This window comes from Homo sapiens, chromosome 6 (assembly GCF_000001405.40).
Source record: "Homo sapiens chromosome 6, GRCh38.p14 Primary Assembly".
Taxonomy (NCBI): Eukaryota; Metazoa; Chordata; class Mammalia; order Primates; family Hominidae; genus Homo; species Homo sapiens.
The window spans coordinates 33,596,830-33,620,074 of NC_000006.12; the positions used below are offsets into that span (position 1 = coordinate 33,596,830).

The following is a 23,245-nucleotide window of genomic DNA, read 5'->3' on the forward strand; positions in this document are numbered from 1 at the left end:
CAGCCTCCCAAGTAGCTGGGATTACAGGCATGTGCCAACATGCTTGGCTAATTTTTGTATTTTTAGTAGAGATGGGATTTCACCATATTGGCCAGGCTGGTCTCGAACTCCTAACCTCAAATGATCCACCCGCCTCAGCCTCCCAAAGTGCTGGAATTACAGGTGTGAGCCACTGTGCCCAGTCGCACCCTGGGTTCTTTGCTGTTCCTTGCCCACACCCAGCTTATCCTGTCTCAGGGCCTTTGCCCTTGCTGTTCGCTCGGCCTTGGAGGCCCTGCCTCTGGGAGTCTATGTGATTCACTACCTCACTTCCTGAGGCCTCTGCTCAGCTGTCACTTTCTAAAGGGGTATTTCTAAACCACATAATGTTTAAAAAAAAAAAGGCAGTGGGTGCCATGGCTCACACTTGCAATCAGTCCCAGCACTTTGGGAGGCCAAGGTGAGTGGATCACTTGAGCCCAGGAGTTTGAGACCAGCCTGGGCAACGAGGTTATTTTTTTATTCTTCAACAGCTAATTTCTGTATTTTTAGTAGAGACAGCGTTTCACCACGTTGGTCAGGCTGGTCTCCATGCTGCCAGACTGGTCTTGAACTCCTGGCCTCAAGTGATCTGCCCGCCTCAGTCCCCCAAAGTGCTGGGATTACAGCGTGAGCCACCGTGTCCTGCCTATTTTGCCCTGCTTTATCTTTCCTCAGATCACTTTCATCATCTAACATATTATATATTTAATTTATTTATATGCTTATTGTCTGTCTCTCTTAACTGGAATGTAAGTTTCATGAGGGCAGGCATTGTTGCCTGTTTTGTTTGCTGCTGTAAGCCCAGCTGCCTAGCATATATAAAGTTTTCCTTAAATAGAGCCAGACGTGATAGCTTGCATATGTAGTCCCAGCTATTTGGGAGGCTGAGGCCAGAGGATCACTTGAGCAAGACCAGCCTGGGCAACATACCAAGACACTGTCTCAAACAAAAATCAAACATAAAATATTCCTTAAATAGTGCTTGAATGAATGGAGTGAGTGAAAAACCTTACTAGGAGTCAGAGAAGTAGGAAGGGAATGGAGAGAAGATAGGATGGTAGAAAGGAGTGCAGGGGCTGAGTGGACCCTGAGAGAGGCTAGGGTCCTGGCCTGGCCTGGGGCACAGAGCCTCAATTGTCTGCTTTCCCCAGGCCCTTCCACCCAGGTCTGCTCTGCTTACCAGCTCCTAGACATGGCTCTTCCAGCCCAGGCAGATGGCCAGGCCTGAACAGAGTGTCCTTTCCCCTCTGATAAGCTGCCTCCTTTCATGGGCACGAAGGGCAGGACGTGTCCTGCTACTCAGGAAGTGCCCAAGGGCCTGGATGGGCCCCTGGAGTGGGCAAGGGGCTGGGCATTTGCCACCTTGGCAGCTACCCTGTGCGGAGGCAAGGCAGAGAGGAGCAAGGGGCAGGGGCCAGGACAGATCCCTACTCCTCCCCAACATGCTCCCCAAACTTCTCATTCAGTCAACAAATCTCTATTTTAATTTTTTTTTTTTTGGGACAGAGTTTCGCTCTTGTTGCCCAGGCTAGAGTGCAATGGAGTGACCTTGGCTGACTGCAACCTCTGCCTCCTGGGTTCAAGCTATTCTCCTGCCTCAGCCTCCTGGGTAGCTGGGATTATAGGCGCCCCCCACCATGCCGGGCTAATTTTTTGTATTTTTATTTATTGATTGATTGAGACGGAGTTTTGCTCTTGTTGCCCAGGATGGAGTTCAATGGCGCAATCTCGCCTCACCGCAACCTCTCCCTCCTGGGTTCAAGCAATTCTCCTGCCTCAGCCTCCTGAGTAGCTGGGATTACAGGCATGCACCGCCATGCCTGGCTGATTTTGTATTTTTAGTAGAGATGGGTTTTCTCCATGTGGGTCAGGCTGGTCTCGAACTCCCAACCTCAGGTGGTCCGCCTGCCTCTGCCTCCCAAAGTGCTGGGATTACAGGCGTGAGCCACTGCACCTGGCCAACAAATCTCTATTGAGAGGCTGTTGGGAGTACAGCTGTGAACAGTCCCTGCCCTGGCTGGGTTTCTATGATTGGCTGCAGCTCAGCTTCTTTTGAACCTGAGAGACTAGGTGTCGGTTTCCAGCCCCTCTCACCCCAACAGGCCTTTTTTTTTTTTTTTTTTTTTTTTTTTTTTGATACAGTCTCACTCTGTTGCCCAGGCTGGAGTGCGGTGGCACAGTCTCAGCTCACTGCAACCTCCACCCCCCGGGTTCAAGCAATTCTCCTGCCTCAGCCTCCCGAGTAGCTGGGATTATAGGCACCTGCCACCATACCCGGCTAATTTTTGTATTTTTTAGTAGAGACGGGGCTTTGCTATGTTGGCCAGGATGGTCTGGAACTCCTGACCTCAGGTGATCCACCTGCCTTAGCCTCCCAAAGTGCTAGGATTACAGGTGTGAGTCACTGTGCCCGGCCCTGAATACAATTTAAATGCTATGTAAATGGTTGTTATACTGTACTGTTTTAAAATTTGTGTGTTTTTTTTTTCAGATATTTTCAAATGGAAGTTGGTTTACATCTGTGGATGTGGAGCCACAGATACAGAGGGCCGACTGTAGTAAGCAGAACATTGCCTCAAAGCCCTTCCCGGTTCATTCCTTAGTCCCTGCCTACCACGGCTCCTAGGCTGAACCCTTGCTGGACTGGACCCAAAGCTGGGTGATGGCTCACTGGGCTCTGAAAATGCAGTGAGGGAGTGAGGCAGGCTGCCCATCATTCCTCCAGCCCCCAGGGGGTAAACAGAAAGCACTTGGCCAACCCTGATGGCAGTGAGCAGCCACGCACCTGACAGATGAGCCGCTAGCAGCATGTCCCACCCCAGTCCCTACTGTTTGGCCAGGACCAATATGTCCCTGATGTTTGCCTTTGTGCCCATGCTGGCCGTTAGCCAGGCCCTGCCCTCAGCCTCTGGCACCCCACGTCTCCAAGGCCTGAGCTCCTATCCCTGGCCTACTGGCTGAGCAGGGCGAGAACCGGATGAAGACAGGATGAGCTGTCACCAGGGATCCTGGCCTCGGGGAACTGAGGCCTTAGATGTGGCTGGGGCTGGAGTAAACACTAGAAAGACTGACTGGCAAGAGAAGGGCATGTGGGAGGGAGGCTGGGAAAAGGGGTGCCTCTGGAGGGAAGGGAATGTCTAGGGCTGATGGAGGGAGATGTTTTTCTGTCTACCTTTTTTTTTTTGAGATGGAGTCTCGCTCTGTCGCCCAGGCTGGAGTGCAGTGGCATGATCTGATCTCAGCTCACTGCAAGCTCCGCCACCTGGGTTCACGCCATTCTCCTGCCTCAGCCTCCCGAGTAGCTGATACTACAGGCGCCCGCCACCACGCCTGGCTAATTTTTTTGTATTTTTAGTAGAGACAGGGTTTCACTGTGTTAGCCAGGATGGTCTCGATCTCCTGACCTCGTGATCTGCCCATGTTGGCCTCCCAAAGTGCTGGGATTACAGGCATAAGCCACCGCGCCCAGCCTGTCTGCCTTTTGGTTGTTGTTGTTTTTTGAGATGAAGTCTTTCTGTGTTGCCAGGCAGGAGTGCAGTGGCGCGATCTCGGCTCACTGCAACCTCTGCCTCCCAGCTTCAAGCGATTCTCCTGCCTCAGCCTCCTGAGTACCTGGGACTACAGGCACGTGCCACCACTCCCAGCTAATTTTTGTATTTTTAGTAGAGACGGGGTTTCACCATGTTGGCCAGGATGGTCTCAATCTCTTGACCTCGTGATCCACCTGCTTCGGCCTCTCAAAGTGCTGGGATTACAGGCGTGAGCCACCATGCCCAGCACTCTGTCTGCCTTTGTACCACTTGAACGTTCCTTGTGACTGTGAAACCCAGTCCAAATACACACATACATGCTTACATGAACACACAGATAGATGACAGCTGGGAGAAAGCTGCAGCAGTTGCCCTGGATGCGCTGCCTGCATCCCTCAGCTTTCTGCCCCACCTATGAAAGCTGTTTACTGAGCTCTTTAGCAACTCTCTGCCCGAAGGTCTTTTTTCTGGCTGTGGGAGATTGGCTGGTCATGGCCACAGGGCAGGCTGGAGGTGCCAGGGAGTTAAGACCCCAGAAGCAGCCTTCAAGCAATGACCGACCAGCAGTTGATGAAAAACCCTGCTGGGCACGGTGGCACATAACTAATCCTAGTGACTCGGTAGGCTGAGGTGGGAGGATCACTTGTGCCCAGGAGTCCAAGGCTGCAGTGAGCTATAATCCTGCCACTGGACAACAGAGCAAGATCTTTTTTTTTTTTTTTTTTTTTGAGACTGAGTTTCACTCTTGTTGCCCAGGCTGGAGTGCAATGGCGTGATCTTGGCTCACCGCAACCTCTGCCTCCCAGGTTCAAGCGATTCTCCTGCCTCAGCCTCCCTAGTAGCTGGGATTACAGGCATGAGCCACCATGCCCGGCTAATTTTGTATTTTTAGTAGAGGTGGGGTTTCTCCATGTTGGTCAGGCTGGCCTCAAACTCCCGACCTCAGGTGATCCACTTGCCTTGGCCTCCCAAAGTGCTGGGATTACAGGCATGAGCCACCGCACCCAGCCAAGTCTCACTCTGTTGCTCAGGCTGGAGTGCAGTGGCGTGACTCGGCTCACTGCAACCTCCACCTTCCAGGTTCAAACGATTATCCTGCCTCAGCCTCCCAAGTAGCTGGGATTACAGGCGTGTGCCACCACACCCAGCTGATTTTTGTATTTGTTTAGTAGATACGGGGTTTCACCATGTTGGCCAGGCTGGTCTCGAACTCCTGACCTCAGCTGATCCACCTGCCTTGGCCTCCCAAAGTGCTGGGATTACAAGCATGAGCCACTGTGCCTGGCCAAAAGATATTGCTAAAAAAAACAGGCCGGGTGCAGAGTGGCTCATTGCTATAATCCCAGCACTTTGGGAGGCTGAGGCAGGAGGATTGCTTATGGCCAAGAGTTTGAGACCAGCCTGAGAAACATGAGATCACATCTCTACAAAAAGTAAAAAATTATCTGGGCGTGGTGGCACGCACCTATAGTCCCAGCTACTTGGGAGGCTGAGGCAGGAGGATCGTTTGAGCCCAGGAGGTTGAGACTACAGTGACCCTTGATATTGCCACTGCACTGCAGCCTGGATGACAGAGCAAGACGCTGTCTCAAAATAATTGATTAATTAATTAAACTAGAAACCCCCTGCTGCCGGGCAGCTTGCTTGGGTCAACTCTGAGGCATATTCTCACCTGGCTCCCTGAGCTCCCCAGAGGTAACTGGTTCGATGACACCTCCATTCTTGGCATCCTTCCCTCCGCTGCCTCACTTCTTCACTCCTCTGCTGGTGTTTGCCGTGGCCACCTCCATTCATGTGTGTGTCCTCTGACCTTTGTCTCAGGGTCTGCATTCTGGGGACCCCAAACCAAGACAGAGATACCAAGATGAGTCTTCAACAAACTTATAATCAGACTGAGAGGTGAAATCCACAGAGTTAGGATAATGAAGTACTATTAATAATAAGAGAGCACATATAATAAATTTAGCCACGATGACCTGACTCTTAAGCACTGGCTCTGTGCCAGGAACGGATCACTGGGCTCAATGTCTGTTATCTTATTGAGTACTCACCAGAGTCCTTGTGTCACTCCATTTGCATTGCTATAAAGAAATACCTGAGACTGGGTAATTTATAAAGAAAAGAAGTTTCATTGGCTCATGGTTCTGCAGGCTGTATAGGAAGTATGACACCAGCATCTGTTCCTGGTGAGGGCCTCAAGAAGCTTCCAATCATGGCAGAAGGCAAAGGGGGAGCAGGTGTCTCACATGGTAAGAGAGACAGTGAGGGAGAGAAAGAGGTGGTAGGTGCCACACACTATTTTTTTTTTTGAGATGGAGTCTCGCTCTTGTCGCCCAGGCTGAAGTGTGATGGCACAATCTCAGCTCACTGCAACCTCCACCTCCCAGGTTCAAGCAATTCTCCTGTCTCAGCCTCCCAAATAGCTGGGATTACAGACACACACCACCACACCTGGCTAATTTTTTGTATTTTTAGTAGAAACGGGGTTTCACCGTGTTAGCCAGGCTGGCCTCAAACTCCTGACCTCAGGTGATCTGCCTGTCTCGGCCTCCCAAAGTGCTGGGATTACAGGCATGAGCCACCGTGCCCGGCCCGTGCCACACTCTTTTTAAACAACCAGATCTCATGCAAACTCAGAGCAAGAACTCACTTATCACTGCTAGGAGGGCACCAAGCCATTCATAAGGGATTCACCCCCATGACCCAAGCACCTCCCACCAGTCCCCACTTCCAACATTTGGGATTACATTTCAACATGAGATTTGGAGGGGACAGATATCCAAACCATATCACATTGCCCCATGACCCCCCAATCTCATATCCTTCTCACATTGCAAAACACAATCATTCCTTCCCAGTAGTCCCCAAAAGTCTTAACTTGTTCCACCATCAATCAATCAAAAGTCCCAAGTCCCAAGTCCCAAGTCCAAGATCTCACCCGGAGATGAGTTTCTTCCACCTATGAGCCTGTGAAATCAAAGACAAGTTATTTATTTCCCAGATACAATGGTAGTACAGGCATTGGGTAAACATTCTTATTCCCAAAGAGAGAAATTTACCAAAAGAAAGGGTCAAGACATCTCACACAAGTCCTAAATCCAGCAGGGCAGTCATTAAATTTTATTTTATTTTATTTTATTATTTTTTTTTTTTTTGAGACAGAGTCTCGCTCTGTCCCCCAGGCTGGAGTGCAATGGTGCGATCTTGGCTCACTGCAAACTCCGCCTCCCAGGTTCCAGCCATTCTCCTGCCTCAGGCTCCCAGGTAGCTGGGACTACAGGTGCCTGCCACCACGGCCACTAATTTTTGTATTTTTAATAGAGACGGAGTTTCACCTTGTTGGTCAGGCTGGTCTGGAACTCCTGACCTCAGGTGATCCACCACCCTCAGCCTCCCAAAGTGCTGGGATTATAGGCATGAGCTACGGAACCCGGCCCAGTCATTAAATCTTAAAGCTCCGAAATAATCTCCTTTGACTCCATGTCCTACATCCTGGGTAGCTCTGCCCTTGTGGCTTTGGAGGGTGCAGCCCCTGTGGGTGCTCTTCGTTGAAGCTGAGTGCCTGCAGCTTTTCCAGGCTCAGTATGCAAGCTGCCTGTGGCTCTACCATTCTGAGGTCTGGAGCATGGCAGCCTCCTTCCCACAGCTCCACTAGGCAGTGCCCTGATAGGGACTCTGTGGGGATTCCATTTCCACATCTTTCCTCCCCTGTGGCAGGCTGTACCTCTGTGGCAGGCTTCTGCCTGGGCACCCAGCCGTTCTCATACATTCTCTGACATCTAGGGGGAAGCTGTCAAGCCTCCTTCATGCTTGCACTCTGTTCACATGCAGACTTAACACCACATGGAAGCTGCCAAGGCTTACGGCTTGCACCCTCCAGAATGGCAGCCCAAGCCATACCTGGTGCCCTTTGAGCCACAGCTGGACATGGAGCAGCTGGGATGTGTGCAGCACTGTCTCAAAGCTGAGCAGGGCAGCAGGACCCTGGGCCGGGCCCAGGACACCAGTCTTTCTTCCTAGGCCTCTGGGTCTGTGATGGGAGGGCTGCCTCTAATGATTTCTGAAATGCCTTCGAGGCCTTTTTTTCCATTGTCTTGGATATTAGCACTTGGCTCCCTTTTAGTCTTGAAATTTTCTCTAGCAAGTGATTGCTCCACAGCCTGCATGTATTCCTCTTCTGAAAATGCTTTTTTCATGAGCCGGGCACAGTGGCTCACGCCTGTAATCCCAGCACTTTGGGAGGCTGAGGTGATTGCCTGAGGTTAGGAGTTCAAGACCAGCCTGGCCAAAATAGTGAAACCTTGAGTCTACTAAAAATACAAAAAGTTAGCCGCCATGGTGGTGGGCGCCTGCAATCCCAGCTACTAGGGAGGCTGAAGCAGGAGAATCGCTTGAACCCAGGAGGCGGAGGTTGCAGTGAGCCAGGATCATGCCATTGCACTCCAGCCTGGGAAACAAGAGCAAAACTCCATCTCAAGAAAAGAAAAGAAAATGCTTTTTTCTTTCTCTGCCACATGGTCAGGCTGCAAAGTTTCCCAACTTTTAAGCTCTGCTTCCCTTTTAAATATAAGTTCCAACTTTAAGTCATTTATTTGCTCCCATATCTGATTATAGGTTGTTAGAAGCAGTCAGGCCACATCTTGAATGCTTTACTGCTTAAAAATTTATTCCACCAGATGCCCCAGTCATCACTCTTAAGTTGAAACTTCCACAAATCCCTACAGCATGGAGACAATGCAACCAAGTTCTTTGCGAGGGCATAACACGGGTGACCTTTGCTCCAGTTCCCAATAAGTTCCTCATTTCCATCTGACATCTCATCAGCTTGGCATTCACTATCCATCTCACTATCAGCATTTTGGTCACAACCATTTGACCAGTCTCTAAGAAGTTCCAAACTTCCCCTCAACTTCCTATCTTCCTCTTAGCCCTCCAAACTCTTCCAACCTCTACCCCATTATTCAGTTCCAAAGCCACTTTCACATCTTCAGGTATCTTTATAGCAATGCCCCACTCTTGGTGCCAGTTTTCTTCCCCTGTTGGTCCATTCTTGCATTGCTCTAAAACAATACCTAAGACCATGTAATTTATAAAGAAAACAGGTTTAATCGGCTCACAGTTCTGCAGGCTGTACAGGAAGCATGGCACCAGCATCTGCTCCTGGTGAGCGCCTCAGGAAACTTCCAATCATGGTGGAAGGCAGAGGGGGAGCAGGCATACCACATGGTGAAAGAGGAAGCAAGAGAGAGAGCAAGGAGAGAGGTGCCACATTTTTTTTTAACAACCAGATATTGTACAAACCCAGAGTAAGAACTCACTCATTACCATGAGGGCACCAGTCATTCAAGAGGGATACACCCCCTTAACCCAAACACCCTCCTACCAGGCCCCACCTCCAACATTGGAGATTACATTTCTTTTTTTTTTTTTTTTTTTGAGATGGAGTCTAGCTCTGTTACCCAGGCTGGAGTGCAGTGGCGCGATCTCAGCTCACTGCAACCTCTGCCTCCCAGGTTCAAGCGATTCTCCTGCCTCAGCCTCCCAAGTAGCTGGGACTACAGGTGGGTGCCATCATGCTCGGCTAATTTTTGTATTTTTAGTAGAGACAGGTTATCACCATGTTGGCCAGGCTGGTCTCGAACTCCTGACCTCGTGATCTGCCCACCTCGACCTCCCAAAGTGCTGGGATTACAGGCGTGAGCCACTGCCCCTGGTGAGGATTACATTTCAACATGAGATATCCAAACAGTATCTGTCCTCTACAGTTGTTACTTCATAATCCCCATTTGACAGATAAGAAAGGTGAGGTTTAGAGAAGGCTTTTGTTCAAGGTTAAGAGCTATACTGGCCGGGCGTGGTGGCTCACACCTGTAATCCCAGCACTGTGGGAGGCTGAGACAGATGGATCACAAGGTCAGGAGTTCAAGACCAGCCTGGCCAACATGGTGAAACCCCGTCTCTACTAAAAATACAAAAATTAGCCAGGCACAGAGGCAGGTGCCTGTATTCCCAACTACTGGGGAGGCTGAGGCAGGAGAATCGCTTGAACCTGGGAGGCGGAGGTTGCAGTGAGCCAGGATCACGCCACTGCACTCCAGCTTGGGTGACAGAGCAAGACTCTGTCTCAAAAAAAAAAAAAAAAAAAGCTAGGCAGTGGCAGGTTGGCCTGGAGAGCCTAGGCCCCAAACAGGGGTGGTCCCTAAGCACTGACTGCATTGTGGAGAGCAGAAAAGAGAGAGGCTAGAGGTCCCTGGCATGACCTTTCAGGAAGGGAGACATTTAAGCTGAGCCTTGAGGGATGGGCAGACATTGGGAAGATGAAGAGTCCTGTGGAGGGCCTTCGGCCTCAGTTTTCTCATCTGTCAAGTAGGCCTAATAATAGTACCCCTCCCATAGGGCCATTTGGGGATTAAGTGAGTTGATATAGACATAAAGAGCCTGTAGTAAGTGTTCACTAAATGCTAATTATTATTGACTATGAATGGGAACAATGTGAGCTGTCGGGTGTGGTCCTGGTTGGAGGTCTGAACAGGTTCCAGAGGCAACCTTCCAGTTCCCAATCCCAGCACCCAGGCCCTGAAGGGAGAGAGCTGGAAAGGCCAAAAAAAAAAAATAATAATAAATAAATAAAAAGGTTAATCAGTCTGGAGAGTCTGGAGCCCCTGAACTTGGGATTTTAGTCAGGCAGGCTGCATTCCTGCATTTTCCTTTTTCAAAGAACATCACAACCTCTGTCACCCAATCTTCACATCTCCGTTCCCGACAGCCTGGAAGTCCTCCCTGCTGTCTAACATCTTGGCTTCCTCCTGTGCCTTTTGTGTGTGGGACAAAGGGAGAGCTAATGAATCTCAGTGATTGGCACTGGAGTTGGCTGGGAGCAGGACAGGTGGAGCCTGTGTGTGGTCCACAGACTGTGGTGCCAGAGAAAACTCACCCTGGGTTCAAAGGCCTGTCTGGCTCAGGATGGAGGGAGTGGGCCAGGGGCCCCCACTGGAAGGTGGAATCAGAGATCTTGGAGGCAGCTGCAGTTGGAGGCTGGAGACAGGCCTTGGTGAAGTCCCTGTCCCAGCTTCGAGGCTCCTCCCAGCCACTGCTGGGGAAGTGTTCGGGGCAGGGTCTGTGAGGGGTCCTCTGCCGGGCTGCTCTGCCTTTGTCTGGGCATAGCTCCTGAGTGAAAAGAGATTCTCCTCCCAGATTCCCCAGCTGTGACCCTTCTGCAGCATGGAGGTGACGCCTCCGGGCTCTGGCGACAAGCAGACCCAAGTTTAAGTCACAGCTCTGTCACTTATTAGCTTGTGACATTGAGCAAACCCCTTCACCTCCCTGAGCTTTCCATATGTGAAAAATGAGGATGCCTTGCTGGCTGTACAGCCTTCACCAACCTGTTAAACAGCTGAGTTTCCATTCCCCATCTGGAGCATGGGAATGATCCATTAGCTGTTTGATCAGCAGCAAGTCCCAACAGCTTGGTAAGCCTCAGTTTCCTCATCTGTAAAATGGGGACTAGAATGAGTTAAGACTAAGCACCAACACACCCAAGCACCATGGCACCACCTAGGGGCGGGCATCAGGTGTTGGCGATGGTTGGTTATTTGTTCCTCCCTTCTGAATCCTCCCCACGTGCCTCACCCTGGGTAGCTTTTCTCTCCGCTCTCCCAGCCAACTCTGGACAAACACAGAGAGCTGCTGGTACGCTGGGGTCACTCCTGGGAGTGGCTACATTTTGAAATAGAGCATAGAATGACAGCAGTGCCAACCACAGGAAGGAGCTGCTGATGTTCAGCTTGGCCCAATCCATGTCTATCACGGGCTTGCAGGGGGTCAGGAGCTGGATTGCAACTGGGGGTCATGGCAACCAGGGGCACCAAGGCCCTTGGGGAGTCTTCCCCCTCATGCCCCTGCTTTGGCTGGGAGGGGAGAGGAGACTGCCGGCGCAGTGGTTCTTCAGGGTTGGTTCACCCGGGGACTCAGGCTGAGTGGGGGCAGTGCTTGGCAGGAATCCATCTCTGTCTTCTAGGAACCACCCTTTGGAGCTCAAGGAGACTGATCACAGGACCTTCTATCCCTGGGGACCCCCTTCCAGGGACCCTGAGATTCCACACTTTGCTGCTTCCTGCAGCAAAGTGACAGGGATCCCAATGTTTCCTGTGAAATGAGCCCCGCACAGGGGTGGCACACAGCAGGCCCCCACTGAGGGTCTATGGGATGAATGAGTGATTGGAGATGCCGAGGAAAAAGCAGAGGACCTAGGCTGGCCCTCAGCGCCCCTCCGAGTCCTTCCATGGGCTCTACTAGGCTGCTCCTCTGTCCTGGGCTTCCTCCCTCTCCACAGGAACATGGGAACGCTGGGATTAACGTCCCCAGTACTACCCTCAACCAAAAAGCACAGGAGTTAGTGGTTAAACAACCTGCTCCCCACTTTGGCTCTCCCGCCCCTTGGTGGGACAACCCGAAGCTGTAGGGCATAGCCCCTGAGAATGTCGCCAGCAGGGTAGAGCCTCTGTGCCAACCAGGCTTGTGCTTCCCGAGATCTTCTCCCAAATAAACCGCTATCCCCAGGTCCTGGCCTCAGCGTCCACTTTAGAGGAACGCAAATGAACCCAGGGTCCCAAGCTTTGCTCCTACCAGCTATGTGATGATGAACAAATGAAATAACATCTCTGAGCCTCAATTTCCTCACTCATCTGGTGTCTCCATGATGGCTGCTCTCCACCGTGGTGAGGGTAGCGGGGTAGCATTGCCTGGGAGGGTGGGGTGCAGTCTATGGACTGAGAGCACCTGGCTGGTTTCCTCTGGAATTGCTCTCCTGGGGTGGTGAAGCTGTCTGCATACTGTAAAAATGGATGCATGACACTGCACATTTTTCAGAAGCCATGGAACTGCACAAAAAGAAAAATGAGCCCTCATGCAAACTGTGGTGTTTCATTAATGATAATGTATCAATATTGTTTCCACAGTTGTAACACACATATCACACCAGAGCACCACGGTAATCATAGGGGAATCTGTGAGAGGGGGAGGGGGGTATATGACAACTCTACATTATCTGCTCAATTTTTCTGTAAACCTAAAACTGTTCTGCAAAAATAAAGTCTCTTAATTAAAAAGAAAAAGAGCAATCTGTGGGCAGCCAGCGCAGGGCTTTCTTCGGAGTTGCTCTCCCAGGAGTCCCACCCACCCTGGATGAGGGTCAGAAGGGAGGAGGACGTTGGCTGGCCTGCCACATGCATCAGTTAATCAGCAGGATGATTAAGCCACTGGACTCCTTCCCTGCCCGGGATTCCAGGAGGGACTGGCGTGGTCACAATGTGGACTCAGGAGGTTAGAATTTTCCTGTGAACCAGGCGGATGCCCTGCCCGTCCCAAGGCCCTTGGGAGGCTGGGGAGGGGAAGCAGGTGTGGAGAGAGAATGAAAGCCACCTCCCCAAGCATGACAGCCTGTCTGGTTCTGTCAGCTCCTACACTGTGACATGCCCCATCACCCCCTCAGTCTAGGGGCCCCAGAGGGCAGAAAAGTCATCCTCACACCCCATATCCTGTTATCTCCAAGGACCGCTGTAATTTGCTCTTGACTCCCTTGAATCTGCCCCCTTCTCTCCTTTCCTGTTTCCCTCCCCGACACCCAGCCCCAGCACCTGCTGCCTGGACCCTGTGGCAGCCCCTCCCAGCAGTGCTGCACTCAGAGACAGGGAGTGGGCTTCAAAACCCAGCTACCAGCCAGTCCTCCCAGGCAAAAGCCCTCCATGGCTTCTCATTGCTTAAGACAAAGACCAATCCCTTCCTGTGGCTCCAGGTCCTGCCTGGCCTCAGCCCCATCTCTTGCCGGGGCCCTTCCTGCTCCATTACAGCTGCGCTGCTTGCTCCTTCCTGGAGCGTGTTCACTGTGTTCCTTCCTGCCTCTGGGCCTTTTCACTTTCCATTCCCCAATGCTTGGAATGTCAGTTCAAGTGTCACTTCCTCAGGGAATCCCTCCTGCCTCTCCCTACCTCCCCACCCATCCCCTACTGCTCTAGCCTCCCTTGGGAGAGCTCCAGTCTTGTATCATCACACCGTACTCTCCCACAGCACATGGCAAAGTTGCAATATAACTTAGGTAAGTGATTCAGACCTGCACCCAAACTTGAATTCCAAGAGGGCAGGGCTGCGTCTACTTGGGGTCACTATAGTACCCCAGCATCCTGTACAGCACTTGGCACACAGTGCAGACTCAATAAATATTTGTCAAGTGGCAGAATGCAGCCCTCCACCCCAGATTGCTTGTCTCAAAAGTTAGAGGCTGGGTTTGGTCAACCACAGACTGGAGAGCCCCTTCCAGAGAAAACCTGCCCAACTTTGAAGGCCAGACTCTTGAGGATTTTTGCAGCGCCAGGGCCTCAGCGCCTGGGGATGCTTCTGAGTGCCCTGGTTGCCTCGGCATTCTGGTGCCTGGCTGGAGGTTGGGGGTTGCACTCCTGCAGACCTCAGTCAGGTCTCCTCTGTTCTTAGGCTGGCCCAGCAGCCGGTGGGGCTGTGGGAGGAAGAGGCCGACTGCTCAGGCCAGGCCTGCTCTACATCTGGCCAGCAGCCTCCCCCGCTGCCCCAGGACAAGGGCCCCAGTGTCTGCTCAGCTTTTACAAACAGCAGGCCTTTCTCTCCCTCTCCACTCTGGAGCCTCAGCTGTGACCCCTCCCTGCCCCCTCGGAAGGCACAGCCCTGGATGCATGACCTTTTCCTTCTGAATGATTCGGAAACAGGCTGACAAACCCGGCGCAGGAGCAGGTCCTGTATAGTGTGTGAACCCCTCTATTTCATCCATTCCCAGCTTTGGCCGGGCAGCCAGGGCAAGGACTGGCTGGGAGGGCCTTAGTCCTGCCAAGGTGGGGTGGGGTGCGGCTAGAGGCCAGGCCCAGCCCAGGTGGACTTGACGTCATGCTTTTCACCTCTGTCTCTGTCAGACAAAGCCTGCTCCTTCGTGCCTGGCCCTGCCCCCGGGGAAGTTTTCCATGCTGCTCTCCTTTCTCAACAGGATCACAGGGCTGATGCTTCCCCTCCCAACCCACCTTTCTTGTTGGCAGGTGAAGTGCCAAGGCCTGCGCACACTCACAGAGACCTGCGCCGCTTCCCTCCTCGTGCAGGGTCCCCCTTCGGAGTCTGGAGAAAGGAAGAATGGCCAGAGGCCACTCCCTCTCCTTGGGAGCTCCTGCCGGGATGCCAACCTGGGCTTCAGGATGGGATGACCTCAGAGGGCAACTCGGAACTGTAATTAGCCTCCACTGTAATCCCCGCCACTCCCAACTCAGACTCAGAACTCTGGGGGCTTGGCAGCTCAGCCCAGACCCCCAGCTTCCTCCTCCTATCCAGCGGGTGTAACAGGCACTCAAAAACTGATTACTAAACAGGGAAGGGGACTTGGAGGCCTGATTTGTGGAGATCTTGATAAAATCTTGCCTTATACATGTCCTATTCTTGGTCATCCATACAAAACAAAATTCCACCGTTAGATGGTCATTCCTTTAGATCTACACGCACTTGTCTTTTTTTTTTTAGAATCCTCAGATGTAGGCAAATAATGACAATTACAGACAATATTTGTTGACTGAGCTAGGTGTTTTACAAAGTAGTTACTTATGCTAGATATTTCTATCTGCCCCTCCAGCTCCTCTGCCCACTCTTCTGCCCTGGCTCTGTGCCCCAAAAGGCTGACTTTTGTGGCCTGAATCACCCAGCTCCCCTGCCCTCTGGTTTCTCATTAAGCTCTGCCAATGGGAGGCACTGGTAAGAGACTGGAGGGTGGAGGAGAGAGAGAGGTGGGGGTATCTGTTCCATCAGGTCCCTGCTTCCAAGACCAGGCTGGCAGTGTCTGGTCCTTGCCCTCTGGAAGGCTGTATTCCCCTCCTTGGCCTTTTCAGGCCTGAGTGGTAACAGCTTCCTGCAGTTGCCAGCTCCAGGGTGCTGCACTACCCTTGGTGCCCACACCTCTGCAAATCCATCCATTCACCAACCTCTTTTTTTTTTTTTTTGAGACAGAGTCTCACTCTGTCACCCAGGCTGCAGTGCAGTTGTACGATCTTGGCTCACTGCAACCTCCGCTTCCCGGGTTCACATGATTCTTGTGCCTCAGCATCCCTAGTAGCTGGGACTACAGGCATGCACCACCACGCCTGGCTAATTTGTGTATTTTTAGTTAGAGACAGGTTTTCACTATGTTGGTCAGGCTGGTCTCGAACTCCTGACCCCAAGTGATCCACCTGCCTCGGCCTCCCAAAGTGCTGGGATTACAGGTATGAGCCACCATGCCAGTCCACTAACCTCTCTTTAATCACCTGTTGGGGGTGTGTTGCCAACTTCCTGCCAGGACCTGGCAGTTACAGGTCTATATTTTTATTTTACATAGAAGGAAATGGAGACCCAGAGAGACTGGGAGCTTCTCTACCCTGTTAGTGGCTGGGGCTAGGACTCCAGTAATTTTGCTCCAGGACTTGTTTTTCTTTTTCTTTCTTTCTTTCCTTCCTTCCTGCCTGCCTGCCTGCCTGCCTTCCTTCCTTCCTTCCTCCCTCCCTCCCTCCCTCCCTCTCTTTCTTTCTTTCTTTTTTTTTTTTTTTTTGACAGAGTCTTGCTCTGTCGCCCAGGCTGGAGTGCAGTGGAGCAATCTCGGCTCACTGCAACCTCTGCCTCCTGGGTTCAAGCAATTCTCTGCCTCAGCCTCCTGAGTAGCTGGGATACAGGCTCCCACCACCACACCTGGCTAATTTTTGTATTTTTAGTAGAGATGGGGCTGTTGGCCATGGCTGGTCTTGAACTCCTGACCTTGTAATCCACCCACCTCATTCTCCCAGAGTGCTGGGATTACAGGTGTGAGCCACCGCACCCAGCCCAGGACTTGTTTTTCACTGTGACTGTGAAGGTGCCCCGGGAGATGTCATAGGTTACCTACCCTATGACCTATCCTCTCAGAGGAGAGGAGGAGGGGGCACCTAGTAATGGAGTGTCAGCCTGGGGAAGACCTGGAGTAGCGGCCCCTTGGTTTCAGGACTCCAGCACCAGGGGGCTTATTCCAAGGCCAACACCAGAAGAGGGCAAGGGGCAGGCTTTCTTCTGTGGCTGGTGGGAATCTCGGCAGCGGCTGGCTTTCATCTTTTGCTTCACCAGGCTAGGACCACGTGTTGGAGTTAGCTGGCTGCATTCCTCCAGTCCCTTGCATGTGGTAGGTGGTTAGCAAATATCTGAAAGAAATAGATGTGGCATTGATGACTGGGGCATGGGGGTGGGGGTGAGGAAAACAGAACAAGTTCTGTCTCCTTTCTAGCCTTCCCAAGAAATCGGGTGTGCCAGTGTGTCTGAGTATGTGGATGAGAGTATGTGAGTGAAAGTGTTGGTGTATGAGTGTGAAAGTGTATAACGGTGTGTGTGTGTGTGTGTGTGTGTGTGTGTAGGCTTCTGGGGCAGGAAGCCCTGTACACTCTCCCTGGCTGTGGCTAAATGGTTACTGTGGGCTGCGGTGCTTGCCCAGGGCAGCTTATGGCATGGGGAAGGAATTCTCTGGGAACCCCAGCGGGCCTGGATTGGCACCCCACCCACGGCGGGTGACCCAGCCGGATGGCTGCTACACTGAGTCAGGCCTTCTGGCCCGGCCTCGCCCCGCCCTGCTTGGCCCTGCTGTCAAATCAGGACTGAGGGTCAGAGGAGCCCTTGAGAACTCCCGATTATCTGCCCCCAACCACGAGACTATCTGTCTGCACAGCCAGCTGCCATAAAGAGGGTGTTCTCCTATGCCTCCCTATCACAGTCAGAGAGGGCCAGTCAGAGCTTAAAGAACAGTCAGAGCCAAGGGTGGAATCTGGGAAGGTGATGTGAACCCTGTTTACAACAAGGTGGACACTGAGACTTAGAGAGGTCTGATCCTTGTGCAAAGCCACACAGCAGAGCTGAGAGCAAGTCTCTAGAAGATGGAGGGGAAAGAAGGACATTGGTGGAGGACACCTAGGTTCAGAGCTGCTTTCCCCTCCCCAGATCCCAGTCCCCTTCCCCGGCCCCAGTGTCCTCTCCTGAGTCAGGGAGAAGGTCTGGGCACTGCCTGCCTTCCTTTCCTTGCCTTCTCAGGCCCAGGGTGGATGCAGAGTGTAGGAGGAGGGTTTCCTGGGGGCGTTCTGCTGGCACTTGGAGCTTGGGGTTAATGCTTTGAACATCTTTATTTGTATCTATTTTTGGTTATAGGTTATACAGCCACATAGTCTGAAATGTAAAAGTTTTAAAGCTGGGCACAGTGGCTCACACCTGTAATCCCAGCACTTTGGGAGGCTGAGGCAGGTGGATCATCTAAGGACAGGAGTTTGAGACCAGCCTGCCAACATGATGAAACCCCATCTCTACTAAAAATACAAAAAATTAGCTGGGCTTGGTGGTGCATGCCTGTAATCCCAGCTACTTGGGAGGCTGAGGTAGGAGAATTGCTTGAACCCAGGAGGCGAGGTTGCAGTGAGCCGAAATCATGCCATTGCCCTCCAACCTGGGCAACAAGAGCAAAACTCCGTCTCAAAAAAAAAAGTTTTAAAAAGAGATAGGGTAAAAAGTGATCCTTTCACCAGTCTCTGGCCCCCAGACCTCCCACGCAGAGACCCCTAAAATCACTGGCTTCCTGGGAATCCTAATCAGAGCTTCTTATTCCCTTTGGGAGGTGGGGCTAGTGGGTGCTGGGAGATACCCAGCCATTGAGGTTGGGGCCTGGGCCGGGCAGATTGGTCATGAAGGGGATGATGGTGACCTCCTTCCTGGGCCTGAACTTGGCCCCAGCTTAACAGCATTCCACTCAAGCCACTCAGAAGAGGTGCAGCCCATCAGCTCTTCCCAATTCCTTAGAGCATCTCTGGGAGCTCTGTACTCCCCACCCAGGGGACCCAGGCACGTGACACCCCAAGCTGGGGCTCCCACAGTCTCCTTGTGTATGTATCTCCTGGTGTAGTTTATATACTTTCCCCACCTCTTTCTCCCTGACAGTTCAATTCCACACAGATTTATTGAGCACTTACTATTTTCTTTCTTTTTTTTTTGAGAGGGAATTTTGCTCTTGTTACCCAGGCTGGAGTGCAATGGCACGATCTCGGCTCACTGCAACCTCTGCTTCCCGGGTTCAAGTGATTCTCCTGCCTCAGCCTCCCGAGAAGCTGGGACTACAGGCGCCTGCCACCACATCTGGCTAACTTTTGTATTTTTAGTAGAGACAGGGTTTCACCATGTTGGCCAGGTTGATCTCGAACTCCTGACCTCAAGTGATCCACCTGCCTCGGCCTCCCAAAGTGCTGGGATTACAGGCGTGAGCCACCGCACCCGGCCTAATTTTTGTATTTTTATTTTTTATTTATTTGTTTATTTATTTATTTGAGATGGAGTCTCACTCTGTTGCCCAGGCTGGAGTGCAGTGGCACGATCTCGGCTCACTGCAAGCTCCGCCTCCTGGGTTCACACCATTCTCCTGCCTCAGCCTCCCAAGTAGCTGGGACTACAGGCACCTGCCACCATGCCCAGCTAATTTTTTGTATTTTAAGTAGAGATGGGGTTTCACCATGTTAGCCAGGATGGTCTTGATCTCCTGACCTCAGGTGATCCACCTGCCTCGGCCTCCCAAAGTGCCGGGATTACAGGCGTGAGCCACCCCGCTAGCCAATTTTTGTATTTTTAATAGAGATGGGGTTTCACCACGTTTGCCAGGCTGGTCTTGAGCTCTTGACCTCAAGTGATCCGTCCACCTTGGCCTCCCAAAGTGCTGAGATTACAGGTGTGAGCCACTGCACCCTGCCAAGCAAGCACTTACTATTTTCCTGACTTGGTCTGGAGACACAAAGTGAAGTGAAGTGAAGTGTTCCTTCATCTAGCTAACAGTTGGCTCAGGGAGCCCAGAAAGAACTGAGTGTTTCAATCCAAGATGGCTCATGATATGTTCTCTGATAGTGGGGGAATAAAGAAATCTCATGTTACAAAGTCTGTGTTGGTGAGGATATGGTTCACTGGGCACATTCCCATGTAGCTGGCAAGAGGGTAAATTAGAACATCCAAGTTGGACAATAATTTGGCAACTCCTCGGAGGTTGACAGTGCACCTTCTCTATAATCCAGCAATTGTACTTTCTAAGTTTTTACTCTAGAGCAGGGCTTTTCCGGCTTTTTGACAAGTATCCTCAATAAGAAATATATTGTGACCCACAGCACACATACCACACAACAGACAACTTTCACCCTACTAGTTACACTGATGATGTGTTACAAACATTGATATTTCCTAGTCGATTTTGAGTTTTAAAAATGCTGATCTTGGCCGGGCACGGTGGCTCATGCCTGTAATCCTAGCACTTTGGGAGGCCAAGGCAGGCGGATCACGAGGGCAGGAGATCGAGACTATCCTGGCTAACATGGTGAAACCCCGTCTCTACTAAAAATATAAAAAATTAGCCGGGCATGGTGGCGGGCGCGTGTAGTCCCAGCTACTCGGGAGGCTGAGGCAGGAGAATGGTGTGAACCAGGGAGGTGGAGCTTGCAGTGAGCTGAGATCGTGCCACTGCACTCCAGCCTGGGCGACAGAGCGAGACTCCATCTAAAAAAAAATAAAAAAAAAAAGCTGATCTTCACCCACTAAGTTGATTTCCTAACACATTAATGGGCCTCAATCCATAGTTTGAACAACATTGCCCTAGAGACACGCAGGTCTGTGCATAAGGAGACAAGAATGTTTATTGCAAAACTGTTGCAATAGCAAAACTTTGATAAGTCTTTATCTGAGACCTGTCACCAGCAAAATGGATAAAGCAATTGTGATGTGGTCAGGAAGTAGACTATCACACAGTAGCTATGTGTCAAAGGATGCACACAGGGTGATAACATTTATACAAAATATAAGACCCTGCAATGTGATATCATACATTGTTTTATGGATACATTGAAATGCGATACAAACATAAAAAGCTGCATGAAATGAAACCCACCCAAATCAGGATAGTGGCTGTCTCTGGAGGGAGAGAATGTAGTTGGAGAAGGGTGCATAAGGAACTTCAACTGATCTTTTTTCTTTTTAAGACAGGATCTCACTCTGTCACCCAGACTGGAGTGCGGTGGCATAATCATGGCTCACTGCAGCCTCCTTGATCTCCCTGGGCTCAGGTGATTCTCCCACCTCAGCTTCCCAAGTAGCTGGGACTACAGGTGCACACGACCATGCCTGGCTAATTTTTTTTTTTTTTTTTTTTTAGAGACAGTGTTTTGCCATGTTGCCCAGGCTGGTCTTGAACTCCCGGGCAAAAGTGGTCCTCCAGACTCGGCCTCCCAAAGTGCTGGGATTAGATGTGAGCCACCTTGCCTGGACACAACTGAAATTTTTTAAGTTTTAATTCTTTTTTTTTTTTTGAGATTGAACTGCACTCTGTCGCCCAGGCTGCAGTGCAGTGGCATGATCTCGGCTCACTGCAACCTCCACTTCCTGGGTTCAAGTGATTCTCTTGCCTCAGCCTCCCGAGTAGCTGGGACTACAGGCATATGCCACCATGCCTGGCTAATTTTTGTATTTTTGGTAGAGATGGGGTTTCACTATGTTGGCCAGGCTGGCCGTGAACTACTGACCTCAGGTGATCTGCCTGCCTTGGCTTCCCAAAGTGCTGGGATTATAGGCATGAGCCACCGTGCCCGGCCTAAGTTTTAATTCTTAAAAAAAAAAAAAAAAAGAACCAAATTTGGCAAAATACAAAGATTTGACAAAGCTAGAGGAAAGATACAGGCACTCACTGTATTTTTATCTATTACTTCTTAAAATATTTCATAATAGTACTTAAAAGATTAGTGCTCCAGTACTTTAGGGAAGAAGACTTTATTCTGACCATGGGAACTTGAAAAGGTGAAGTGCTAGAGAGAGCCACAGGAGCGCAGGCACAGGGGTATGAGTGGATGAGGTCCTGGGGAAATGAGAAGGGACACACTGAGTCCTTCCTGCCTGGGATGCTGTGCTGATGGCTCACACTTCCTTCACATGTTGGTATGGTACTCTCTCCATTTAACAGATGAGCAAACAGGCTGAGAGAATGCCTGCTAGAAAGTGGCAGAGCTGGGACTCTAATCCAGGCCTGTAAGAGTCAGAGTCCGGGCCAGGCGTGGTGGCTCACACCTGTAATCCCAGCACTTTGGGAGGCCGCAGTAGGCGGATCATGAGGTCAAGAGATTGAGACCATCCTGGCCAACATGGTGAAAACTTGTCTCTACTAAAAATACAAAAATTAGCCGGGTGTGGTGGCGGGCACCTGTAATCCCAGCTACTCGGGAGGCCGAAGCAGGAGAATTGCTTGAACCTGGGAGGTGGAGGTTGCAGTGGGCTGAGATTGCGCCACTGCACTCCAGCCTGGGCGACAGAGTGAGACTCCGTCTAAAAAAAAAAAAAAAAAAAAAAAGGGAGCCAGAGTCTGCACTCTTGGCCAGTCTACAGCATGGATCCTCCTTGAGGAGCAATTGTGTTTTCTGCAGAGGGTGGGAGGACAGCAAGACTTGAGGGTCCAGTGTGCTGGGCTCAGGTCTGTAGACTTCTGTGGGCAGTGAGGAGGCATAGGAAGGCTTCAAGCAGGAAGCAGGGGAGGGAACTCATTGGAGCTGTACCATCTGTTTCTTAAACTTTGGTCTTTGTTGTTGTTGTTTAACCAACAGAAACTTTCTTGAAACAAATTCTAACTCAGAACGCAGGTATATAAAATAGCTTACAGTGGAGCTGATTTGGAAGAAGCAGGTGACAGGGGCCCAGAGCCCTCACCTCTGAGACCTCCTGGTTGGTGGAGAGACAGAGGCTCTAAGTATTCCTAGGATGGGGAGGGGTGGGGAGAAACAAGGCCATGTGCTTTAGTCCAGAGAGACCCAAAGTGGAGTGACCTCCATTCCTGGCTGCTACACCTCGGCTGAGTTATGGAACCATCTATATGGATGTCAGGGGAGGAAGGAGGTGGATTCCTGGGTGTGGCTGTGGCACAAGTTCTGAGTGTGGCCACTGGAGGCAAGTTTTCAACTTGTCCCTCTTCATCCTCACGGTCTGGGGAAGGGAAAAAGGCAATTGGGCCCAGGCTGACAGCTTGATCAGAGCCTGGTGCCCAGCAGAGGCCTGACATCACAGGCCTTCAATAAATGCTTATGGAATGAAGGCATATTTTTCCCTTCTAACTTTTGGGGATGATACAGGAGGCCTGACTCCTGGGAGCAAGTGAAACTGTCCCAGGGGCTGCCCCTTCTCAGTGAGGTTCCAGTGACCCATCGCTGTGGCTCAGTTGGTGTGGGGTAATAGGAGAATACCCGGCTAAAAATCAGAGGCTTGGTTGGCTTCTGCCTCCAGTTGCCAGGAACCTGCCGTGTGCCCTTGATGGGTGGTGTTCCTTCTCTGGGCTTTGGTCATCTCTTTTTGGCACAGTGGACTGGATGAGGTTTTTTAAACTGCAGTTTGCAACCCATTTGGGACATTAAAAAAAACCAGTTCAGTGGGTTACAATCAGCATTAAAGCAACAACAAGAACACAACTGAAATAGAATAGAAAATATCAGCATGCATCAAAGGTCATAAAAGTAAGTATTGTTTGGTGATCTATTGTTTTGCTTATATATAGACGAAGGTGTGGACTGGTCTGCTGTAAAACTTGTTACTGTTTGCCATGGTGAAAAAACAAAACAAAACTGTAAAACACGGTACTTAGCGATCCTGGAGGTGTC

General features: G+C 51.0%; 9 annotated features.

Annotated features, from left to right (window-relative positions):
* Nucleotides 166-215: an enhancer, noted in NCBI's record as "active region_24366". NCBI's record gives its function as "activates an Ori minimal core promoter by ATAC-STARR-seq in GM12878 lymphoblastoid cells {active_cell/tissue: GM12878}" and the evidence as "EXISTENCE:reporter gene assay evidence [ECO:0000049][PMID:35858748]".
* Nucleotides 2,390-2,890: an enhancer, noted in NCBI's record as "H3K4me1 hESC enhancer chr6:33566996-33567496 (GRCh37/hg19 assembly coordinates)". NCBI's record gives its function as "activates a minimal SCP1, AML or CMV promoter by ChIP-STARR-seq in naive H9 embryonic stem cells {active_cell/tissue: H9 hESC(naive)}" and the evidence as "EXISTENCE:reporter gene assay evidence [ECO:0000049][PMID:30033119]".
* Nucleotides 2,891-3,391: an enhancer, noted in NCBI's record as "H3K4me1 hESC enhancer chr6:33567497-33567997 (GRCh37/hg19 assembly coordinates)". NCBI's record gives its function as "activates a minimal SCP1, AML or CMV promoter by ChIP-STARR-seq in naive H9 embryonic stem cells {active_cell/tissue: H9 hESC(naive)}" and the evidence as "EXISTENCE:reporter gene assay evidence [ECO:0000049][PMID:30033119]".
* Nucleotides 6,897-7,398: an enhancer, noted in NCBI's record as "H3K4me1 hESC enhancer chr6:33571503-33572004 (GRCh37/hg19 assembly coordinates)". NCBI's record gives its function as "activates a minimal SCP1, AML or CMV promoter by ChIP-STARR-seq in primed H9 embryonic stem cells {active_cell/tissue: H9 hESC(primed)}" and the evidence as "EXISTENCE:reporter gene assay evidence [ECO:0000049][PMID:30033119]".
* Nucleotides 7,399-7,898: an enhancer, noted in NCBI's record as "H3K4me1 hESC enhancer chr6:33572005-33572504 (GRCh37/hg19 assembly coordinates)". NCBI's record gives its function as "activates a minimal SCP1, AML or CMV promoter by ChIP-STARR-seq in primed H9 embryonic stem cells {active_cell/tissue: H9 hESC(primed)}" and the evidence as "EXISTENCE:reporter gene assay evidence [ECO:0000049][PMID:30033119]".
* Nucleotides 10,062-10,568: an enhancer, noted in NCBI's record as "NANOG-H3K4me1 hESC enhancer chr6:33574668-33575174 (GRCh37/hg19 assembly coordinates)". NCBI's record gives its function as "activates a minimal SCP1, AML or CMV promoter by ChIP-STARR-seq in primed H9 embryonic stem cells {active_cell/tissue: H9 hESC(primed)}" and the evidence as "EXISTENCE:reporter gene assay evidence [ECO:0000049][PMID:30033119]".
* Nucleotides 11,169-11,711: an enhancer, noted in NCBI's record as "H3K27ac-H3K4me1 hESC enhancer chr6:33575775-33576317 (GRCh37/hg19 assembly coordinates)". NCBI's record gives its function as "activates a minimal SCP1, AML or CMV promoter by ChIP-STARR-seq in primed H9 embryonic stem cells {active_cell/tissue: H9 hESC(primed)}" and the evidence as "EXISTENCE:reporter gene assay evidence [ECO:0000049][PMID:30033119]".
* Nucleotides 12,640-13,226: an enhancer, noted in NCBI's record as "H3K4me1 hESC enhancer chr6:33577246-33577832 (GRCh37/hg19 assembly coordinates)". NCBI's record gives its function as "activates a minimal SCP1, AML or CMV promoter by ChIP-STARR-seq in primed H9 embryonic stem cells {active_cell/tissue: H9 hESC(primed)}" and the evidence as "EXISTENCE:reporter gene assay evidence [ECO:0000049][PMID:30033119]".
* Nucleotides 13,227-13,812: an enhancer, noted in NCBI's record as "H3K4me1 hESC enhancer chr6:33577833-33578418 (GRCh37/hg19 assembly coordinates)". NCBI's record gives its function as "activates a minimal SCP1, AML or CMV promoter by ChIP-STARR-seq in primed H9 embryonic stem cells {active_cell/tissue: H9 hESC(primed)}" and the evidence as "EXISTENCE:reporter gene assay evidence [ECO:0000049][PMID:30033119]".